Source organism: Homo sapiens, chromosome 13, assembly GCF_000001405.40.
Source record: "Homo sapiens chromosome 13, GRCh38.p14 Primary Assembly".
NCBI lineage: Eukaryota > Metazoa > Chordata > Mammalia > Primates > Hominidae > Homo > Homo sapiens.
In genome coordinates, this window is record NC_000013.11 from 31,188,514 (window position 1) to 31,211,898 (window position 23,385).

Sequence of the window (23,385 nt, forward strand, 5' to 3'; positions counted from 1 at the left end):
CTGGAGAGTCAAAAAGAAAGCTAAATGTTCTTCACTTTCTGTCCCTTTCTGAAACACGTCTGTGTTGTTTCCATGACACTGTCTAATGTGGTTCCCTCCTCTCTGTTTTGCCACTAGCTTCTCTTCCTCAGGACAATGGCCCTTGTGATACCATAAAAAGATGTCTGGTCTTTGTCCCTGGTTCCTAGCACAGAGCTGCTAAAACCCTTGAAACTTCAACTGATAGAGGTGACAAGAGCTTCTTTTGTTCTAATTGTCTCAGTGGGCTCCTGGATAGCCTCAGGATGAGGGCTGGTTGCCAGAAAGACCATGCCTTGATTAGAAGCTTGGAAGTTCCAGCCCCACCCCCAATAACCTCTGGGGGGATGGGAGGAGCTGCTAAAGATTGAGTTAATCAGCAATGGCCAATTATTTAGTCAATTGTGCCTATGTGGTGAAACCTCCATTAAAACCCCTAAATAGGCCAGTGCGGCGTCTCGCATCTGTAATCCCAGCACTTTGGGAGGCAGAGGCAGGCGGATCATCTGAGGTCAGGAGTTTGAGACCAGCCTGGCTAATATGGCAAAACTGTGTCTCTACCAAAAAGACAAAAAATTAGCTGGGCGTGGTGGTATGCGCCTGTAGTTCCAGCTGCCCATCCAGGAGGCTGAAGCAGAAGAACCGCTTGAACCCAGGAGGGGTAGGTTGCAGTGAGCTGAGATCACACCATTGCACTCCAGCCTGGGCTACAAGAGTGAAACTCCGTCTCAAAAACAAAAATAAAAACAAAAAACTCTAAGTGATTGGATTTGGAGAACTTCTGAGTTGGCAAACACATCTATGTGCTGGAAGGGTGGCACAGCCCAACTCCAAGGGACAGAAGCTCCAATGCTCAGGACTCTTCTGGACCTCACTCTATGTACCTCTTCATCTGGCTGCTCATTTTTATGTTTAATAGTATTCTTCATAATAAACCAGTAAACATAAATAACGTGCCTTCCTGAGCTCCATGAGCCTTTCTAGCAAATTATTGAATTTGAGGAGTAGGTCGTGAGAACAGAAGTAGAAGTGCCCCAGACTTGTGAGTAGCATCTGAAGTGGGGTCAGTCTTATGGGACTGAGCCCTTTAACCTGTGAGATGTGATGCTGATTTCAGGTACATAGTGTCAGAATTGAATTGAATTGTTGGACACCCAGTTGGTGTCAGAGAGTTGGAGAAGTAGTGTTGGAAAAGACACGGAGTTTGGTGTCAAGAGGAAAAAAACTGAACAGCTCCCAAGGTGATGTCCCCAACTTGGTGTTATGACAATCGCCACTCTCTCTCTATACTGAATAACTCCTGTTTCTCTTCTCATTCTTTTGTGGGTCACTTCACATCTGTATTTTAGTTGATAACTATTCTCTAAGCTCCAGTCTTTGTGTCTACCTGATTACTGAACATTTCTTTGCAGATGGTTCACCTTCACTTCAAATGCAATTTGTCCAAAATGGAAAACCAGATCTTTTCAATTAACAAGCTCTTCTCTCTGACTTCTCTAACCATGGTACTTAGCCATTCAGATTCCAAACTTCAGAATCATTTTTTTAGTTCAGTCTGGTTAATCCTAAGTCTTTTTGATATATCCTTCATCCACCTTATTTTGCTAATTCTGTAGCCACCACTCTAGTTCATTTCCTTATTATGTCTAGACTATTGCAAGTGTCTTCAAGCAAGTCTCACTATCATCTGTCTAGACTCTTGCCAGTACATGCTGGACTCTGCCCTTAGTCTCTTCTTAGTGGGCTACTTAAATGAGTGTCAGTCTCTCAACACACAATGGTTCCCACTGACTACAGAAGAAAGTACAGCTTTGTAAAGTTGCCATTTAAGGTGACAAGAGTCTTGCCACAACTTCGTTACTTGTTCTAACATTGTATAGTCTAAAGTTAACTTCAAACATTTGAATAAACTAAGGGTTGTTATCTAGTGGGATAATAGAAGAATACGTTGATTCCAATCATTCAAAGGTCCCTTAAATTCTACACCTGTAATGTTTCATCTTGCAGTATCTTCTCTTCTATTACCACTGCCCTACTTCAGTTTCTTCCTATTGTCAGTTGGTTCCCCAAGGTCCTTCAATGAATCATGCAGCTTCCCTGAGAGCACAAAACACATGCATCTCAAAATTTGGGGTTTCCCGCTTTCCTCTCTTTTAATCTCATGTTTCTCCCAAAGTAGGTGTCAATGTACACAGCAGGGAAATGGAAACAAGACTTGCCTACTCTGTAGAGCCAAAGAACATGACAATTTAATTTAAACAAGATAACTCCAACATCCGTTTGACTTAATGCTAGTAAAATGCTATTTCTGAAAATTATATTTTCATTTGTGTAAAACAATTATGCCACAGCTATTTTATTGTTATTGCAGTTGGGAAATTTTTTTTTGGGAAAAAAAGACATAAAGCATGTTTTGGTCCTAGCTTCTTCAAGTAAAATAAATGATGTATGTATTTCTATGCCTAACATTCTTCCAGTAGATGACCAGAAGTCCTCAGGGCCCTGGTGGCCTCCTTTCCAGTGGATCTGGTCAGCCATACCCTTTCTTCCTCGGCTGGGACTTGGGTCCTCCCCAAGGCCAGTGCCCCATTGCTGGGCTTGCTACTGGCCTCTCCAGACAGCTTTCCTGTCTTCTCACCCCATCTTTGTGTGCTAGCAATACTGTTCCTGACATGATGAACTGTGGCCACATTGGTCTACTTGCCATCCTGCAAATATCGCTTGCTTCACTGACTTCATGTCTTCTTCATTTTCCCCCTTTTCTATTTCTACTAGTTTGGAGTCTTCCCTCATTTCATGACCTCTATTGAAATCCCACCTTCTCCCTGAAACCATCCTCAATCATCCATGTCAGAGTTTTCCTTCACCAAGCACACTCCAAACTGTTCAATTCATCTGGACCTCTCCTATAACTGCCCTGTTCAGTAATTATTTGTGTGGTTACTTGGTAGGTGGTAAAGAGCTGTACTAAAGTAAGATAACATTATTTGTAGTTTTATCTTTTCAGAGATTTTGTGAGTTCCTGAAGGGCAGAAGCTGAATTCTCAGCCTTGTTTCATGCTCTAGCATCTAGCACAGCATCTTTTCAAAGCAGAAGATGAGGTGTTTTAGCTTGGAAGTGTAGAGCAAGGGGAGGATTATTGGCAGTGCAGTGCCACTGAGACATGAGAATAGGGTCTGGAGGCAGGGAACCTAAGGCCGATTCATGCTAACTTCCTAGAACTAAATCAAAAGGAAAACCCCAACTTTCCACATCTAAGTAATAAAAGGACCTGAGACTACTCCTTTTGCAAACCCCCACCCCCTTTTCTGTGTGGTAGATGGAAAATTGAAAGTATCAATGATTGGTTGCTTTCCACAACCAATCAGTTTGCATAGGAGTGTAACTTTGTAACTTTGCTTCAGCCCGATTGGTTGCTTTCCTCAACCAGTCAGACTGATTGCGGGTCAAGTCTTTGTGTGCATAGAAGTGTAACTTTGTACCTTCACTTTAGCCTCTGATTGGTTGCTTTCCACAACCAATCAGACGTTTGCATAGGGTGTAACTTTTGTACTTTCACTTAACCCTCTGATTGCGGACCACTACTTCATTTGCATAGGGTGTACATTAAGTGACCAATGGGAACCTTTAGAGGGTATTTAAACCCCAGAAAATTCTGGAACTGGGCTCTTGAGCCCCTATGCTCAGGCCACTCCCACTCTGTGGAGTGTGTACTTCTGTTTTCAATAAATCTCTGCTTTTGTTGCACCATTCTTTCCTTGCTTTATTTGTGCGTTTTGCCCAATTCTTTGTTCAAAACACCAAGAACCTGGACACCTTCAACCGGTAACCACTGCCAATACCCAGCTCTCCTCTATTCTGGGACAGTACTTTCTCCCCCTTCAATGAAACATGAGCAGAAGTGACTTGTGACACTTTCACTGGGAGCACTGGATTGCTGGTGCTTGGCTCTCCAGCACACCCTTCCCCGGCAACAACGATTGTGGAGAACTTGAGTTGAGATGTGGCCAGACTAGAGCACTAACAATGGGGAACAGCTGGCCTGGAGGGTCGCCCGCACTGCAGCAGGCTTGGCATGACTTGGCATGACTTAGAAAGCCTTTGTTACGTTAAGCCACTGAAAATGTTGGGTTGTTTGTTACCATGGCATAACCTTGCCCATCTCATACTTATTATTTTAAATCTCTAATGATTGGGGGTAAAAGGTGACTTTGAGCCCGAGTTGGCTTCTTAGAAATCTGGCACCTCAAATACAGCAGATCTAAAACTAAACAGGGAGTAACCAAGTGCAGTGGGTAAGAGAAAGGATTTTGGAGTTAGGTTGATCAGGATTTTTGTGCTGGCTTCCACAATGTACAAATTATGCGTCCTAAGCTGGCAGTTTTCAAACTTTGTGGTCTCAGGATCCCTTTACATTCTGAAAAATTGAGGACTGCAAAGAGCATTCGTTTATGTCGGTTACATCTGTGAATATTTACTGTATTAGAATTAAAACAGAAATTTAAACATATGTATTAATTCATTTTAAATGAACAATAATAACCCTATCATATGTTAATATGTTGTTTTTATGAAAAATACATTTTCCAAACAAAAAACTTCATGCGAAGTGTATCATTGTTTTACATTTTTGCAGATCCTTGTAATGTCTAGCTTAATAGAAGACAGGTAGATTCTCATAATTTGTTTCTTCATTTTATTTATTTTGGATGACGTAAAGGAAGAAAATGCAGCCTCACACAGATACGTAGTTGAAAAAGGGTCATTTGGAAAATACTGTTTCTTCAAAGTATGCAGATCTTCCAAGGGTTGAGACATTTCATTACACAATATTTTAAAATCAAATTTGTGAACACCACCATTGATCTCATTAAAAAGTCTTTAAGGATGGGGAAGCTGTTAAACTCATGGCAGCACATACAAGTTTTCCAAAATTCTAATTTCACTTGGAAGGTTGATTTGTATTAATGTAAACAAATTACATCAGTTGTTTTCCTTAAAGTGACAAGCTCTTTTTTTGAGAAAATACCCAGCCCCTAAACCTGAATAACCTGAATAAGTTTGTCAATTTTTTAGTCAATTAAACATGGCGTTACATGAAAAATGCAGCTAGTTCAGCTTGCAACTCAAGCAATCTCACAAGTGTTTTTTCTTGAGACATCATGCTTTAATACGTAGAAGTACTTTTATGCTTACCCCTCAACTCGTTACACAAAATATTACAAAGATGAATACTCAAGGGTGTAATTTAATAAACTTAGTAATTTTTACTGCTTCATCAAGGACCTTGTAAGTGAACTTGGCTTATTTTGTTTTCCCACTGTAAGCATAGTTTGGTGCCACTACCTTGACTAGTGCTACAGCAGTAGATAGCACTTTTATCCATGATTGCTTTTGCACTATTGGTGGAAATACACACGCATAAAAGCAAGTAATGTGTTAGTATTGCTATAAAAGTAGTTTTGACCTTGTAAACCTGGATACCCTGAGTGTCAGGGACCCCTAAGAGAATCGCTGTCCTTAGGCAAGCTACTTAATCTCCCTAAAGTAAGAATGATAGTCATAAAGCTGTTTGGAAAACTAAATATTATTCAACATGAAATAAAGTACGTATAGCACTTAGTATAGTGCATGGTATATAACAAGCATTTCAGTAAAGATTAGCTATTACTATGCATCTATTGATAATGTGAGGGCATTGCTGTCACTTACACTAGCAGTAATGATCATCTTTCCTTTTTCTCCACAAACTCATTCCTCTGGCAGATCTCCGTTTTAGTTAATTGCCTCATTTGTCTCCTCTGTGGCCTCTCTCTTTGCTCCAGCATCGACTCACTCGCAAGTATAATTGATCTGACCCTCTGTTGTGCCCTCACAGCAATCCTTTCCCTTCTATTCCTGTTGCTACTACCTCCGTTAAATAACAGGGTTTCCATTAAAGGCAGTTCTGGCTGTTGGTATTTGACCTGCCTGAGACTCAGTTTACTAATCTTGTAAAGTGGGAACAGTAGTCCTGTCATAGGTTTTTCTTTTTTTGGTGTGGGGTTAACTGAAATAATATATTTGAAAGTAACTTGGGAGGCCGAGGCGGGCGGATCACGAGGTCAGGAGATCGAGACCATCCCGGCTAAAACGGTGAAACCCCGTCTCTACTAAAAATACAAAAAATTAGCCGGGCGTAGTGGCGGGCGCCTGTAGTCCCAGCTACTTGGGAGGCTGAGGCAGGAGAATGGCGTGAACCCGGGAGGCGGAGCTTGCAGTGAGCCGAGATCCCGCCACTGCACTCCAGCCTGGGCGACAGAGCGAGACTCCGTCTCAAAAAAAAAAAAAAAAAAAAGAAAGTAACTGGCAGAGTGCCTAGCTACTGCATGTGTTCAGTACATACATGTTAGTTTTCCTTCATTTCCCCTTTCCTCATAATTTTTTCTAGCCAGTCTTTTTTCTTTCTTTCCCCTCTCTAATCCATCCACAACATTAACACTGAATTAAACTTCTCACAGCACTGATCAATCATTAAATCAGTACCCAACTCACGTGAACTGAGTGTTCATCATGTGAATTCATCACAATTGAAATATTCATTATTTTTCTGATAGGGGTTGCCGAGTTAGGACACCAGGTAGGCCTTACGAGCTACAGTCTTGTAGTGGAGGTTTTGGTCATCACCTGCTGAAACATCCTTCCATCTATCCACTGCTCATTGCCCCACTCAAGGGAAGGCCATTCTCCTAGCACGGTGCCCAAGCCCCTGCTCGGTACGGTCCTAACCAGCCTCCCCTCCATGTTCCCTCGTGCTGGCCAAACTAAACAGCTCCTCAGTCTCTGAACTCTCGGTCTTCCATGGCATTTCTTGCTTGTCTCCTCTGCTTGGAATGCCTTCTCCCCTTCTCTCTTGGCAACCGCGCCATCTCGGTGAGGCCCCATGCAGCCCCACTGATGAATGTGCTTTCCTTCTCCTTGCCCTTGTTCGTACGCTTCTTAGGGGATTTCCATGTTCCAGGAGGGTTTATGGCTATTTCTGTATGTCCTGGTCCTCCTAACTAGACTGTGATCTCCCCCAGGAAAATGCATTTTCCTCCAAACTCAGCATGCCATATGAGGGCCTCATACATGCAGTTAGTCCGTGATACATTCGTCACAAACACATAAAATTTTTGTTGAGCTTATTAAGCAAGATCCTACATCTGAAAGCAGCTGTTGTAAAATGAACAACTACTTATTAGCAACAGCACCAAAAACACCAACACATTTTGTGTGGGCTGCTGAACAGTCATGCCCCACGCCTTCTGTTCTTAGTGAAAGTCAAATGCAGACACTTCCTGTCATGCCTGCTATGAGTGATTCCTGATCTTTACTGGGAACAGAAGGATATGTGATTCTACAAAGGAGAGCGAAACAGCCAAGTAGATCATCTATTTCTGATTAGAAGTTTCTAGGATAGCTTTCTTGTAGACAGGCTTTATATCACTCTGTGTCTTCAAATGTCAATGGCTTCAGATTTCTGGGCTTTCCTGGGGGGTCTGCTGAGATGGTAACCTGTTATATTTCCTGGATTTTGGTTCAGGGTTGTTAGGCTGTGAGAATCCCTTTGTTAAGCTTCTTTGAATAAAAATCTTGGTTGAAAGTTTGGTTTGACAGAATGGGTTTTGCCTAAATATATATATATATATATATATTTTTTTTTTTCCAGACAGAATCTCACTCTGTCGCCCAGGCTGGAGTGCAGTGGCGTGATCTCGGCTCACTGAAACCTCTACCTCCCCAGTTCAAACGATTCTCCTGCCTCCCCCTCCTGATTAGCTGGGATTACAGGCGTGCGCCACCATGCCCAGCTAATTTTTATATTTTTAGTACAGATGGGCTTTCACTACATTGGCCAGGCTGATCTTGAATGCCTGACCTCAAATGATCCACCCGCCTCAGCCTCCCAAAATGCTGGGATTACAGGTGTGAGCCACTGCACCTGGCCTTGCCTATAATTTTTGAATAGCTTTGGAAGCAATGTGAGACAAGCTCCCTGAGGGCATTAAAGAAACCACCGTATGTCATCAAAGGATTCTTCCTGAGTACATGCAGTGGGGCTGTGGCTCTGGGTCCTCTCTGAGTGATGAAAGTTTTGCTCCCTCTCTTCTCTTCCTGTCTCCCTCTTCTCCACGGGGATCATAGATTATCTTCCTTCCCAAAACGCTAAAGCGTAAGGTACAAGTGATGAGTCTTTCTCCTGTAACCCCCTAGTGTGCACTGATTGTGGGGTGTGAGGATGGTGAGCAGATGATTAAAGTACTGTAGCATAGGTCTGATATTATAATGACCTTAAGTCCCGGAGACCCTGTTTTAGACATTCTATTTTACTATTAAACCTTAAGACCTGATTTTAGGTTTGGAAAATAATCCTCAAGACCACTCATAATTCATAAACCTGCTGTTTTATGCAGGAAGAGAATAGTCCTCCTGAATTGTGTTGACTGCTAATCCACTTTAGGCCTGACACTGAGTGAAAGGGCACCGAGAGTGGGAAGAGTTGGAATATGCCCTTTGGGCTTTGCTAGTATAGAAACAGGGTGCCTGGGAGGCCCCTTCCAAGTCACAGGAGAGAGGCAGCAGGCTGGAGGGGGCACAGTGAGAAGCTGTTCCTCCTTGCAGCCCCTCTCCCCACCCGCCACACTACTGTTGATTTGCACATTCGTGCTGTGCCTCAGCCTGGGGCGCCTGTCCTCCTTTCTCAGCTCAGGAACCTGCTATTTCTCCTTTAAGATCCTGTGCAACAGTCGCTTCTTTTCTTACAGATTCCAAAGGCCCTGAGAGATTTTTTTTTCCCTGTGTGTTCCAAAGTGTGCTGATCTACGCATGCCATAGCATTTATAAGAAGGTAGCAAAGTTAGTTATGAACATTTTTGTCTCCCAAACTGGACCGTGAGTTCTTGGGCCCAGGACCATGTTTTATGCTCTTTAATATCTGCCCCAGAGCTTAGCAAAGGGCACATCAGCTAGAGGTGCTCCCTATCATTTGAATGAATGGAGTTCAGCCTTTTGGGCCTCAAGGATAACTGTTGTAAGATCAGAAACCATCTGTTTGGAACTTGTTCATTAGATTATTTGGCTCTCAGTGGTTTTAGTATGTCTTTATGTTCTCCTTTAGTATTTAGAAAATTATCTGTAAAATTACCAGTCTGTTTTAACCAGGTTGCGACAGTGCCTTCCCCAACAAAAGATGGCTCCTTGCTTCTTCCCCTGTCCCTCAACAAAGAAAGTTTCAGGGGCCAGCATGGAGGTGACAGCTGGGATTGAGTAAATCCCAAGAAGATGGCTTGCTTGTTTTCATATCACAATCTTAAAGTTTATAGGATTTATTTTTTTTCTACTTAGAGTTGTTCCTTTACAGTCAATGTTATAGGCAAGCAGTGCCTATCATGTATCTGTTAGTATCCTCATCAGTACGTTGCTCTAGGAAACTCTCCTGACATGTGATTGGGAGAGAGAACTCCCAGCAAGTCCATTTATCATATGACTAGAGTAAGTGAAAGGCAATTCTTTTTAAAATGTGAGTTATGGAGCTTTGTAATGTGCCATTTATCTATGTCTACTGTGGAAAGGAAGGACACCAGGGCAAGTTTATTACTTAAACGGTGTGTTCTCTGTTGTCCTTAGGGCTTAATTTTCCACACCTTGTTCTGGAACATAGTAATACTCTAACATGATGAATTTCCATGAAAACATTGATTAAGCACCAGGAGTTGCTTACCCACGTGGAGTAGGCATTTGACCCTGCTTATTAGTCTTCTGTGTCTAATTAAACAGTTTGGTTAAATGTTTACTACCCCACATATGCAAGGAATATTTTCTTGGAAAAAAGCGAAAACAGCTTTGGAAATTGGAAACAATCTAGAACTACTAGGCAGGTAAGCTTGAGAATTTCCCAAGGATAAAAGCAATGAATTCAGTCAACCATAGATTTGAAATGCTTCACTAAGAAATGAAATGGAAGGATCCCTACATTTCTTTTTCCTCCCATCAAAATGGTATTGACAAGAGACCATAAACCTTGGGCGAATGGAACAAAAGGGAACTATTTGCACTCACACTAAATGGATCACACGTGAAATATTTAGTTCCCAGTTTTAAGAAGTCAATATAAACCACACAGAGAGAAAATTCTTTGTCTCCAGGCCTCCTTTTCAAAACAATCCCAGCAGGTATTGCACAATTGCAGACAATACTGTCCTAATGCATTAGAGCCTAAGTCCCCTAAACGCATTCAAGTTAAGAGGGCTCAAGCCTACAAATGTTTATTCAGCACCTGCTTCTCTGTCTCCAGGACATCCTACTTGTATTCCCAGGGCCATCCTACTTGTACTCCCAGGGCCTCCTCCTCCTTAAATGTTTAGCAAGTAGGTGAATGTTGTATGTCCATGTGAAAGATACTGGCATTCCTAGGGTGCTTAGCAGAGTTGCAGTCACATAGTAGGTATCCAACAAATGAGTAAATATGAAGGAAAACATAGAAACTGCCTTCAAGAGGTCATGGGCTAAACTAGGGCTGGGAAAAGCACTTGGTCCTGTGCACTTCCTTGGAAACAGAAGTGAGCCAAGGCTTGAGGGAGGCACGAAGGAGTTCAGAACCACTGAAGGGAGCCTCTAGTTCTTACTTGTAATGCTTTCCCCTTCAGTGCACCACACAACACAACAGGACCAGTCCCCTATCAGGGCCACCACTCTACCGGGCTGGGGAGGAAAGCCCTTCGCAGTCCTGCGGGAACAGGAGGCACTCCCACATTGCTCCACTTCTCTGTATTCCAGTTTAATTAATTTTTATATTTTGAATAAAATTACACCCACTCTCTTCCATTATGGTGAACACTTAAAATTACATTTATAGAAAATTACATTTACACAAACTTGTTTAAAAGCCAAATCCCAGACCTAGGCTATTGGCCAAATTCCATTTAAAGGGGATATTAAGTAAATTAGTTGAGCTGATTAAAAACACCTTCATCAAAGTAGAGCATTGGTGCCAACAATATTAAGAGTTGAACTATTGATTACATTTTTTTTTCCACAGCAGATAATACATTAGCAGGGAGGAAAAGTGATTACTGCTCGCTTCCACTTCACAGGTAGAACTACTGATGGGGGTGACGCGGTAAGGTGGGAGGGCATGAAGGCAGGGGACGCGGCCTAGGTCAGGAGGGACGCAGAGGAGAAAGGAAGAGGAGGGGTGGAGGCTGGTGGCTGGAGGGGGCAGAGGTCAGACGCCTCGAAGGAGGGCGCCGTGAGGGCAGAGCCGCGGCCACCTCTACCGCAGCAGCCCGTCGGGCCGGACACCAGCCGCAGCCGCCAGCCCGGCAGACGCTGGAAGCGCGCACAGGGGTGCTCCCGCTCCCGGCCGCCAGAGGGCGCGGCCGGCGATGGCGCGGCGGAGACGGAGGGAGGAGGGGAGCCGGCAGAGAAGGGTCAGCCGCGGCGGCAGGGCGGCGGCGGCAGCGGCGCAGCTCCGCTCCCCGCGCGTCTCCCTTCCCCGCGCCCAGGTAGGGCGCTCAGCCTCCGCCGCCAGGATGCGGCCGCCCGCCTGCTGGTGGCTGCTCGCGCCGCCGGCGCTGCTCGCGCTCCTCACCTGCTCCCTGGGTAAGTAGCGGGCGGCCAGGCGCGCAAGGGCGAGGCGTGGGGTTCGCGGGCACAGTCGCCCGTGCCCCGGTCGGCGCGGGGAGGGAGGCGCAGGGCGGCCCAGCCCTGCCCCGCCGGCGCGCGCGTCCCGCCGTCCGGTCCCCGCCGCGCCGCGCCGTCAGCAGCGCCCTCTCGCGGCGCCCAGGTGGGACCCGGGCCCGGGACCCGAGGCGTGCCCGCTCGGCCCCTTTCGGTCTTGGGTCCCCGCTGCCGCCCCGGCCCCAGACTCGCGTCTCCCAGCCTCTGCCGCCCCGAACCGGCGGGCGACGGGGCGGCGAGGGCGCAGCAGCCGCCCCCACAGGAAGCGCGCAGGAACTGTGCCACCGAAGAAACTTTGCAACAGCGCGAGTGGCGGCGGCGGCGGTCCCGCCCCCCTGCCTTCCGCCCGCGCTCCGCCGTCCTGCGCGCCCCGCGCCGGGCGGGAGGCTGGACGGGAGCCGGCGAGGCGGCCCTCGAGGCCCCGCGGCTCCTGTTCGACCCCCGGGGGCGAGGACTGCGGTCCCGGTGTCCGCGCGCCCCTCCGCAGGGCCTTCGGGACGTGCCCTGGCCCCTGAGGATAAGCGGCCAGCTCGGCGCCAGCCCTTCCCGGATTCCGACCCGGAGGAGGACAGGGGCGCCCGCTGGGCCTCCGCGGGAGCTGGCGCGGCGGGGAGGCTTGCTCCTGTCTCGGGTCTCCGCTGGGGACATCAGGGGACACGTCTGCGAGCAGAGCAGTGCTTGCCCGGTCTCCTGCTGCTGTAATGCCCATTCTTTTTTATTTCTTTTCTCCTCGCAAGGGCATTTCCCCCCTTTATCTTAAAACGATGTGATAAAAGTTAAAAAAAAAAAAAAAGCAGCCTTGTAATTGACTTTCATGATCAGATTTGTTCAACTTTGAAAGCTTGAGCGAAAAATTATTTTTTTTTCAGACTGCTACAGAGTTTTTGTCCTCTAACCCAGACTTGCTGGTGTGAAAAGGCAATGATTTCAGATTTTTTAGTAATGGCAGAATGGTGCAGTTTAGGAAAAGACGTAGCGTTATTGCGCACTGCTCTTGTTAGCCCACCGGAACCTTGACAGCCTGTTTTTATTTGTATTTAAGCTCTCTGAATAAGGATTAATTTGCTGCATTTGTGTACTTCTGGCATTTCTATAGGCGCTCAGTAAGTGTGGGAAAAGAGCAAGATTAGTTGGTAATTGTTTACATGCATGATTAATTAGGCAGCAGTGTAATTAAAAATATTAGGGCACCTCCGGCAGAGAAGGCTGTAGTTGGTCTTGGGGAGCGACTGAATTTGGCTGGAATCGGCTTCAGTGGAAGAAGGGCATTGCTGGGTGGCAGCCCTGGGAGAAAGGGAGGTTGGAGGTTTGGGAAAGCGACTGGGTGACTCCTGGCTGCATCAGTTGGCTTGTTGCCTGGATGTTTTGCAACTAACCAAATGGGTGGGTGGTAGCTGAAATTGGTATTCTATTTATAGCACTGCACTTTATAATGCTGTACTGGGGGTATAATATTTGTATATAATATATACAACATATGGGCTGAAATGCACATTTGTATTGCTGTGTCTATTTTTTATTACCCCCAGGGGAATATTTGCACTGTCCAAATTTGATAATACACTGAAGGACATTCAGAATGCACTAAGATGTCAACACATTTTTAGAGATGTCTATTAGCCTTGTGAAGTTGTCAGATAAGCACAATAAATAAGACATAAAATGCATTAAAAGGTCCCTGTGAGACATTTGGCCTTTGGGAACTGGCTTTCATGGGTTGGCACAGACGGGAGGCTGTATTCTTCGAGGTCTGAAGTGAATCATGAATACCTTTTATGGAGCTCTGCTTCGATTTAGGGGAAGGGCACCGACACGTATAAAGATGTCCCCACTTACGATGTTCTTGGAATCTTGCTGAAACAGAATGTGACAGGCGTTCTGTCACATGTGAACAATCTTGATAGTTTATAAATACCTTAAATATTCCCATATAAGATTGGCCTGACTATATAGTTTAGTTTCCCCACAAACTAGAGCATATTTGTTTATATTTTTAGAGAAAAGTCAATATAGAAAATTTCTTTTAAACCCACATGCATATACAGACACGGTTCACTGCAACTTTGGTTCTAAAGTCTGGCACCAGTTTCAGAATGAGAAGATTGAGTCAGGCCTCCAGGTTACCATTTGTTAGCTGTGTGGCTTTTAGTGGCTTTGAGCTTCAGTTTTCTCATATGAACAGGGCGAATGGACTGGATAGAATACTAGCACTTTGCCACCTCTTACAGTTTTAACATACTGATCCCGTTGTAGCAGAGATTGACAGCCACCTGCGAAGTAACCCTTTAGCCCTTGTTTTCCTAACAAAACTAATATAATCTGGGTTGGGGGGAAGGATGGTGGGGTGGTGGTGGCAGCGGTGGCAGCAGCACTGTGAGACATTTCTCAGTGGCCTTTGCATATAGGGGCAGCTAGTGCTCTACAGAGATATCTTTAGAGATTGTTTGGTGGGGCTCCTGGTAAAGCTCATTCAAGGTGGCTGACTCAGCTGGGATGCAGGCCTTTTTGCTCTGTGTTATCCTCCTTCCCATTGCCTATTAAGTGGATCTGAGGGATGGAGCCATGGTGGCCATCTTGTGACCATGAGGTGACCTTGAAGATGGAAGCCAGTAGTAAGGATGGTAGAAGAGAAAGATAGAAGAAGCCTGGATGCCAGATGGATGTGGAGCATCATGTCAGCTCTGCATTTCCTGTTTGCAGACTTGTATTGCATGAGATTATATGCAGCCAAACCTAATCCTATTGCCAAACCTAATCCTAATTGATAGAAGAAGCTTATTCGAACCAATGATATTGATAAAATAATAGGTATTAGCTTTTATTTTTCACATGCCTGTCTGTCACTTCCCTGTGTGAGCCAACTTTGTATTTCTTAGCACCTGCCAAAATTGGGGATGGTTTTTCATTCTGAGCCAGGTCTTGCCCAGATTCCTTTCATTGCAATGAGTCAGAAATTTTAGGACACCAAGAGTCAGACCTAATTCCAGGTTGTTTTGTGTTTTTTGATTCTTAAAACCTTCTCTTTATTTCTTAAGCAGTATGCAGATATTACTGGCACAGATTTTAATCTTCTGGATGGATTCTTTGTCATCCAGGTAGTCCAGGACCTCCGAGTTGGCATGGCTCCCCAGGTCATGGACTTGACCCAGGGGAGTTTGCCAGTAGCCAACAGCTAAGCCAGTGGGAGGGAGGGAGAGCATCTGTTTCAAATAGCAGTGTGAATTCGAAGGAGGTGCTTTGACCCCTTTGGTAACTTCCTGCGGGACAAACATTGTGGGCTCGGTATTTGAGCACTTCCTTATAATTGGCTCTTTTGGAGCCAGGTTTTTTTGGTGTGTTTTACTAGACTCATTATGAAGCAAGCAAGCAAGCATAATTTTTAGGCATAAAGGTACTACTTAGAGAAAATTTGCAAATGTTCTGTTTTTCCTCTTGTAGCATTATGTGTGATCCATCTTTGGCTTTGCACAGATTACTTCTTAAGAACAATATATGGGAGTCCCCATAGGTTAATCTCATCTTTTCCATGATAAAGGAAAAGTTGTGAGTTTCAAGGGTTCATCAGACCTATTGAGGAAGTTCTTCCTTACTACCATGATTTCAAAGTTCTAGTCACTAAGCAACTCCCAAAGAAACCTGATTTAACGTAGGCGTTGACTTGAACTACTAGAAGAATGTCAATTTAAAAATAGTGTTAAAAAGAAAAACTGCCCAAAGCCTCTCATTTATTCAGAGTAATGTGGGTACCTACTGTGTGTCAGGCATCGTGATATTGCAGGAACAAGACAGATCTAGTCTGTCTCTACCCTTGGGGAGCTTGCAGCCCGAAAGGCAAGGTGATGTTAAGCAGTAATGACTACAGAATGAATCGTGTCTGTGCCAAATGCTGTGGAAGAGATGTTCAGGATGCTGTGAGAACATGCTGCAGGGAGATAGATGGCTTTTGCCTAGACTGGGGAGATGGATCTCAACAGGGAGCCATCTTGCACCCCAGGGAACGTTTGTTGCTGTCTGGATACTTTTTGGTTATCCCAGGGGCTGGTTTGGCAGAGGGTGCTACTGACATCTAGAGTCAGGGGTGCTGCTGAACATCCTACAAAGGCACAGGACAGTTCCACCCCACCATCGAACAATTAATTATCGGATCCAAAATGCCAACAGTGGCAAGCTTGAGAAACTGTGGGGTAAGGGTCAAGGAAGGCTTCCTAGAGGATGTGACGTTAGAGCTCAGACCCGAAAGGGAAGCAGAAATCAGGTAAGTGGGTGGCAGAGCTTGGTGGTGAAGGAGCCAAGTGGAGAAAGGACGGAGGACTGAAGGGCTGGCAAGATCATTAGGGGCCAGGTTGGGTAGGGCCTTGCAGATCAGGGGACATATTTTGGGGTCATCCTTAGAGCAGAGGGAAGTGTTTGAAGGGCTGTAGTGGGGCAGTATGTGATATGGCTGCCGTTTCCTGAAACTCACTCTGGCTGTCTGATGGAGCAGGAGTTGGAGGGGGCCATTGTGGATATAGGGAACTGTGAGGAGGCTGCTGGACACAGGTTGTGAGAGATGATTAATAATCTCTCAGACTCTGGGACTGATTAGGTTCAGTGTGCTGGGAGAAAGGGTGGGGGAAAGGATGAGTCATACATTTCTGTCACATCCACCATGGGTAGTAGTGCTGTTTACTAACTTGGGCACTGAAGGAGGAGGACCAGGTTTTTAAAAACAGTTTTATGTGGTTCAATGTACATAACATACAGTTTATTAAGTATAATGAATTTTAAGTGTATAGTTCTATGGCATTAAGTACTTACACAATTTTTTGAAATGTACTTTGACTTTTAATTTTAGGGGGAGGTGAAGCTGAGTAAGTTCAGTTTTGGACAAGTTGAGTTCAAAATGCATGTGAGATGGCCAGGTACCATGTTAGGTGAGCAGTTAGATATTTGGGTCTGTAGAGGACAGGTCTGGCTGGAAGGTATTTTGGGGGGTCATTATATTAGGTGGCAATTTGAGTAGGTTTTTTTTTTTTGTTTTTTTTTTTAAGAGTTGGGTGTCTGGTCGGGCATGGTGGCTCACACCTGTAATTTCAGCACTTTAGGAGGCTGAGGCAGGCAGATCATTTGAGGTCAGGAGTTCAGGACCAGCCTGGCCAACAAGGTGAAACCCCATCTCTACTAAAAATACAAAAAAATTACCCGCGCATGGTGGCGTGTGTTTGTAGTCCCAGCTACTTAGGAGGCTGAGGCAGGACAATCGCTTGAACCCAGGAGGCCGAGGTTGTAGTGAGCAAAGATTGCACCACTGCACTTCAGCCTGGGTGACAGAGTGAGACTCCGTCTAAAAGAAAAAAAAAAGTTGGCGGGTCTGGCTATATTGCCCAGGCTGGACCTGAACTCCTGGCCTCAAGTCATCTGTCTGCCTTAGCCTCCCAAGCAACTGGGACTACAGGAATGTTCCACTGCACTTGGCTGTTTTATGTTTGTTTGTTTTTAAGGAAGAGAGTCTTGCTTAACAGAATAAATTCATTTAAGCATTTACTCAAAATGTGTATATACCAAAGATTTGGTAGAAGTTGGAGAGGAAAGCAGTCTTTATCTACATATATCTGCATGTTGTAAAGCTGAGGGTTTAGACAAAACAAAAATAAAAACAAAAACAAGTATAAGTATCATCAAATAAGAGTTGAATGTATCTTAAGTATAGCAGTGCCATTTCCTCCTAGGGATATGACTTATTTTCACTCCTAAAAGAATATTTTATGTAGCTGAAAAGATGATATATTTTAGTTTATATCATTGCTTCCCGTAAGAAACTCAAGGCTCTTTACACATCACGTTGAATTTATCTTCTCCAGATCCTTGATGGGGGATATGGAGGAGCTTGTTTTTCGTTTACGAGCTAAATGAAGTAAAGGACGTTAAATGGCCTCAGCCCGTTGTGAAAATAGCCCCATTCAGTTCCCTTGAGTTCCTGTCTAGTTGCCCTTCCCAGTGTGTGTCAGACTTCAGCACACATGAGAATCATCTGTGTGTCCTAAAGAAGCCTGTATTTGTTAAAATGCAGATTCCTGCGTTCCAGCTCCAGATTTTCTGATTCAGAAGATCTGAAATGAGACTTCCAGGTAAGTTTTCTGTGAAGCCAGGTGTGAGAACCCTGCCTGGGCCACCATAGGCCCGGATATAAACTAGGACTCTTACTGGGTGATTTCTGTGAACATCTGTGGAATATAAAGATGATCAAGCCCGGGCGCAGTGGCTCACGCCTGTAATCCCAGCACTTTGGGAGGCTGAGGTGGGCGGATCACGAGGTCAGGGGTTCGAGACCAGCCTGGTCAACATAGTGAAACCCTGTCTCTACTAAAAATGCAAAAAAAAAAAAAAAAAAAGGTAGCCGGGCATGGTGGCGGGTGCTTGTAATCCCAGCTACTCGAGAGGCTGAGGCAGGAGAATCGGAGGTTGCAGTGAGCCAAGATCATGCCATTGCACTCCAGCCCGGGCGACAGTGCGAGACTCCATCTCAGAAAACAAAAAAAAACAAAAGATGATCGGTGGTTGTTTTGCCTTAAAGTAAGGAGTTGTTCTGGAGAGAGCAAAGTGTGGCATTGAGGCCTACTCCTCAGTCAGGTCTTTTGTGTACTTGGGAAAGGAACTGGAAACACCAGAACTAAAACTATGAAGTCTGTCTCAGGCTCCAGGATCATTTGGCAAATTTTTAAATGCTGCTGAGGAGACCATAGTCCGTGGAGCATGAGTATCAAAAGTTAGAGCCGTGAGTTGTTAAAGCAAAGGTTTTTGGGCAATATACAAATAAGTTTCTAAAGGCTTAGAGCGTCTCAGATTGTGTGTACCATGGATTGAGTGGTACTGAAAGGGGTACTTACTTTATCTGTATGTCTGTTTATCCATCTACCTACCCATCTGCACACTAAGGGGGTACTTTTAAAGACCTACTTCTTGTAATTAATAAGATGCCCAAAAGTTAATCATAAATTATATTTTTATAAGTTAAGCCTGACAGTTAACTGTTCCATAGTACACTTGCAATTTAAAGGAATCGCGTAAACTGCTAATTTTTTTTTTTTGTTTGAATGTTTGCTGTGTTCCTCTTTGATGTGTTCTGTAGTAGGCTGTGTGACCAGGGATTTTTCTGACCCTTCCTATGACTTAGGCTATGGAACATGCTAGTGAGGGTGGGGTTTTAAATCTCACCCCCAAGACTGTTTTGAGTTGCAATTTTCTGGTTTGCATATCCTGAGTGACGGTTTTTAAACAAGATGCAAATCAAAGTATGAAATGATCTTTTCCCTCTTGAATATATATAGTTATTTTCTATTTTTCTCTTTTTTTTTCACTATCTACTGTGCTTCCTGTAAAATATATTTACTCTCTGGCCCATAGAATATGTTGGTCTCATCAAACTTTGTTGTCAAGTGAAGAAAAGCTAATATTCCAGTGTTTCCCATGACTTCTGTAATAAAACAGGAGAGGAGTTTCAGATGGAACTAGATCATATCTGAGTCGATAGTAGGCTCAAAGCAGGAATATTGTGTCTGCATGCTTGCTGCCTCAGTGTGGTGGGAGGCTTGGCCTCCTTCCTCACTACTTCTCTCCACTGGCTGAATTGTCCTGGCATCTTTCCCAGCAGCAGATCTCTTTTCCTAAGAGTTTACTGTTTGGCACTTGAGCAAAAGGCTCAATAGGTTTTACCATAGGCCAGGTACTGTTTTGAACCTGAACATACATGAACTCACTTAATTCTTGTTCCATTTCTTCCCTCTACAGGGAGGGAAACAGAGGCTCAGAGAGGTTGCTTAACTATTAAGTGGCAGCGCTCGGATTTGAACCTAGGAGGTTTGAGTATACTTTGTCTTTGTACTTTGTACTCTGTACACAGTACAAAGTACTCTGTACTTTGACCTTATGCTGTATGACTTCTCAGGCAGGGCCCCGGCCCGGGTCTCCTCTACTGCCACATCTTTCTGTTGTACAGTGCAGCTTTAAGGAGAGAGTTCTTTGAAAGGATTCATTAAACAGCTGCCTTCTCTCCTGCTTCTCCTCCCCATCTGGCCATTCCTTTTGTCTCCTTTGCAGTTTTGTCCTTAAATGTTGCAGTTCCCCTGAGCCGTCCTTGGCCTCACGAGCCTTGGCTTCCGTTCTGGTGCGCTGTGGAGACTCTAGTGCTGCAGCCGCTATTGCACGCACACCCCTGTGCTGGGCTCACCCCTGCACCCGGCTCTCCTGCCTGTCTGCACTTGCGTATCCTCAGGACGCTGGGCACCAAGTTGCCTTCCCTCACACGTGCTACCCTCCTTTATTCTAGGAAGCCCCAGGCCCTCCCTTCCCGTCTCACCCCCCACCCGGGTGCTCTGTCTCAGAGCCTGCAGCTTCTGCTTCTTTAGTGGCCCCCCCCCCCCGCTCACTGCCACCTTCATTGAGGCCCTTAGCGCTCTTTGCTTGACTCCAGTGGCCTTCCCACTGGCATGTTTGTGTCCTTTCTTGTCCTCCCACAGCCGTCCCACACACTGCCTCCAGAAAGCTGTCTTGGGCACACATCTCAACAGGGCATTCCCTCCTTAAAACCTCAAACAGCTGTTCCTGGCTCAGGAAAAACCTGACTCCCCAATACCACCCCCTCCCATGATATGGCCCCTGGTACCTTCAGCCTCATTTCTAGCCCCAGCCACCCGTCCCCACAGGGGTTCCTGCCCGGGTCACCCCCTCCTCAGAGGGGTCCCTGCCCGGCCGGGTCACCCCCTCCCCTCAAGGGACCCTGCCTGGGTCACTCCCTCTTCTGAGGTATTTCTGCCACCAAGTGTGTTGACCCTGCCATTGGCCTGCCCTGTATAAAACCCAAGAGGGAGAGAATAAAATCCGATGCCCCTTAAAAAACGTACGGAGTGACAGGGCCTTCCATCCCATGGTTGGAGGTGCTGTCCCATGGTAGATGGAGCTGCTACCCAGCTTGTCTGCTACTGTGGGGACAGGGGACAGTGGATTTGTCCCAGTAGGGTGGAGAAAAGGCAGACTTTACCTCTGTCGCTGGGCTGCAGGGGTGTTTGTTTCTGTCCCTCTGCTACCATGGATTATCTTCAAAGTGGGTACTTGGAAACAAGTAAGTTGGCTATGCGCCATGCATCCTGGAGCTTAAGGCCCCCTGGAGGACCTGGAATTAATCCTGGAAAGCTCCACGGAGAGGCAGCTGCTGGAGGCTGGAGCCAGCTGGGTGACATGCTTTGTAAGTAGGTCACAGGAAAGAAAGTGAAGCCCCAAAGGCTTCCTCCCCCAGCGTGTTAGAAAAGAAGTGGCAGCCTGCATAGCCTGGAAGGAGCGCCTGAGCCATGTGTGCTTCCAAGACGGCTCTCTGTGAGCTTTGGCCTGGGTGGCAGAGCCACAGGTACCGGGTTTTATGCTCTCCTGGCTTTTGTGCAGGGCAGGCAACCACCTAGACACTTCCCAGACTGCCAGTCATTATCATTGTGGTCACCAGCATGGCCACAGCTATTGGCTGAGCTTTTTTATATATTCTGAGCTGATGCCAAAAGTTTAGGCATTATCTCATTGGTTCCTGCCAGCGCCCTCTGAGGTGGAGTTATTTGGCAGCTTAGTGGTTTTCTTGTTTTTACTGTTCCGTTTGGTTTCTATGATAGATGTTCCTGGGAAAGTTTGGGAAAACAAATTAAGAGAATTGGGACAAAATCAAGTTAGGAGGTAGAAGGCACAATCATCTTTCCTGCGTGGGAATGGGGGTCCCTTGCTCCCTCACAGGAACAGGGAAAGAGAGTTGATTAGTGCTGCTTAAATGTGTTGCAATTAATTACTCGCCAGTTTTCTTGCACTCCGGGGCTTAGGCTGGCCTATAAATCTTAGTCCCAGGTTAGTTGTAAAATCTTGATTTATCTCTCTGTCTAGATGTGCTAACACATTTGTTGGCTTGAATTATTTAAAGTTATCATGAAAAAGGTCTGATTTCTATTGCCTGCCCTGATTTGCACTTTAAATATAGTTCCCTGTTGCAGTTTACCAGAATTCATGTTGAAAATGGAAAAGGGGAAATTACTTTTAAACAGCAGTTTGGCATGTAAAAGCATGATTTACCCTGGAATATTTCTCCAACTGCACATTAAAGCACTAAGGCCAAATTTTCAACAATATTTTCCCTACTGAATCTGGAAATTAATATGAAGCAAACAGCAAACATTGAGCCTCAGGTAGCCACTCCTGTGTACCCCTTTGGTTGGGGCCAGGTTGGAGGGATCTTTCCCTCACTCCTTCTTTTCTTTGTCAGTCACCAGCCCAGACTCAAATTGCAGTATGCACTCGTTAGCATTGTTGAAGGTGACAGGCAATTTCTTACCTCCCTTGCTAATTTTTCTCACTTTGCTCATCTCTTTGCACCATCTCTCTTTCATTTCCATGAAACCAGGATTTTTATGGATAAGAATTCTGTAAATGGTTAGTTATTTTAATATTGGATTTATTAGTGGTATAGCATATTCAGTGCCTTCACAATATATTTGGTTCCTTTTTATTTTTATTTTTATTTTTTTAAGAGGCAGGGTCTCTGTCACCCAGGCTGGAGTGAAGTGGCATGATCATAGTTTACTGCAGCCTGGAACTTTTGGATACAAGGAGTCCTCCCACCTCAGCCTCCCAAGTAGCTGGGACTACAGGTGTGCACTAGCAAGCCTGGCTAAGCATTAATTTTTTCTTTTTCTTTTTTTGGAGAGATGGGGTCCCACCATCTTGCCCTTTTGACCTCAAGCGATCCTCCTGCCTCAGCCTCCCGAAGTGCTAGAATTACAGGCACGTGCCACCACGTCCGGCCACGTTTGGTTCCTTGATGATTTCTTTTGATTTATTTAGATTACACAAATTTAAAGATAAAACCAACTGGCAGCCGGGCATGGTGGTTCATGCCTGTAATCTCAGCACTTTGGGAGGCCGAGGTGGGTGGATCACCTGAGGTCAGGAGTTTGAGACTAGCCTGGCCAACATGGCAAAACCCCATCTCTACTAAAAATACAAAAATTAGCTGGGCATGGTGGCACGTGCCTGTAACCCCAGCTACTCGGAGGCTAAGGTAGGAGAGAATCGCTTGAACCTGGGAGGTGGAGGTTGCGTTGAGTTGAGATAGTGCCACTGCACTCCACTCTGGGCAACAGAGTGAGACCTGTCTCAAAACAAAACAAAAAACAACTGGAATTTTTTCTAAGGATTATCTTGTTTTATGATTTGCTCCTACAACTGAAAGTAACTCTGATGCATTTTTTATGTCATTGTTTTAAATATTATAATTTGTATCTATCATGGGAAAAAGGTATTTTAAATTTCACAGCAGAGTGATAAGAAATGACAGACTTTTTTGGTTTGGGTTTTTTTTTTTTTAAAGGGATATTTTAACTCTAGGTCTATATTTTTGGACAGAGCTAGAATCTAGTTTAACTTAGCTCAGTTAAGCTTTGTCTGGCTAAAGGAATGGTGTGTTGATTACGACAAGCAGAATTTATGGAATTTATTTGACATATTGGCAATATCTTTCCTGTATGTAATTCCTACTTTAAACAGTTACATCATCAAATATTAGCTACTTACTCACAAAAGGTGATACATTAGTAATTTTCAGAACCAGTACCAAATAAAGATACCTTCCCTGCACTATATTCTACATTCTAAGGGCTAGG

At 45.0% G+C, this 23,385-nt stretch overlaps 1 protein-coding gene across 4 annotated transcripts in view, besides 4 other annotated features; it reads left to right on the forward strand.

The window, feature by feature from the left end:
- Positions 11,103-11,162: a silencer, noted in NCBI's record as "silent region_5239". NCBI's record gives its function as "represses an Ori minimal core promoter by ATAC-STARR-seq in GM12878 lymphoblastoid cells {active_cell/tissue: GM12878}" and the evidence as "EXISTENCE:reporter gene assay evidence [ECO:0000049][PMID:35858748]".
- Positions 11,213-12,112: a silencer, noted in NCBI's record as "silent region_5240". NCBI's record gives its function as "represses an Ori minimal core promoter by ATAC-STARR-seq in GM12878 lymphoblastoid cells {active_cell/tissue: GM12878}" and the evidence as "EXISTENCE:reporter gene assay evidence [ECO:0000049][PMID:35858748]".
- Positions 11,462-23,385, forward strand: part of B3GLCT (beta 3-glucosyltransferase) — a 132,302-nt gene continuing 120,378 nt past the window's right edge. For 3 of the 4 annotated variants that reach the window (NM_194318.4, XM_011534936.2, XM_047430111.1), the window contains exon 1: positions 11,462-11,641. In NM_194318.4, the coding sequence (NP_919299.3) occupies positions 11,572-11,641 (70 nt within the window). In that variant the 5' untranslated portion in view covers positions 11,462-11,571. Of the gene's footprint in view, positions 11,642-17,773; positions 17,827-23,385 lie in introns of those variants that run through there. The other variant, XM_006719768.4, reaches the window with a different exon arrangement.
- Positions 12,173-12,422: a silencer, noted in NCBI's record as "silent region_5241". NCBI's record gives its function as "represses an Ori minimal core promoter by ATAC-STARR-seq in GM12878 lymphoblastoid cells {active_cell/tissue: GM12878}" and the evidence as "EXISTENCE:reporter gene assay evidence [ECO:0000049][PMID:35858748]".
- Positions 20,477-21,004: an enhancer, noted in NCBI's record as "H3K4me1 hESC enhancer chr13:31783127-31783654 (GRCh37/hg19 assembly coordinates)". NCBI's record gives its function as "activates a minimal SCP1, AML or CMV promoter by ChIP-STARR-seq in naive H9 embryonic stem cells {active_cell/tissue: H9 hESC(naive)}" and the evidence as "EXISTENCE:reporter gene assay evidence [ECO:0000049][PMID:30033119]".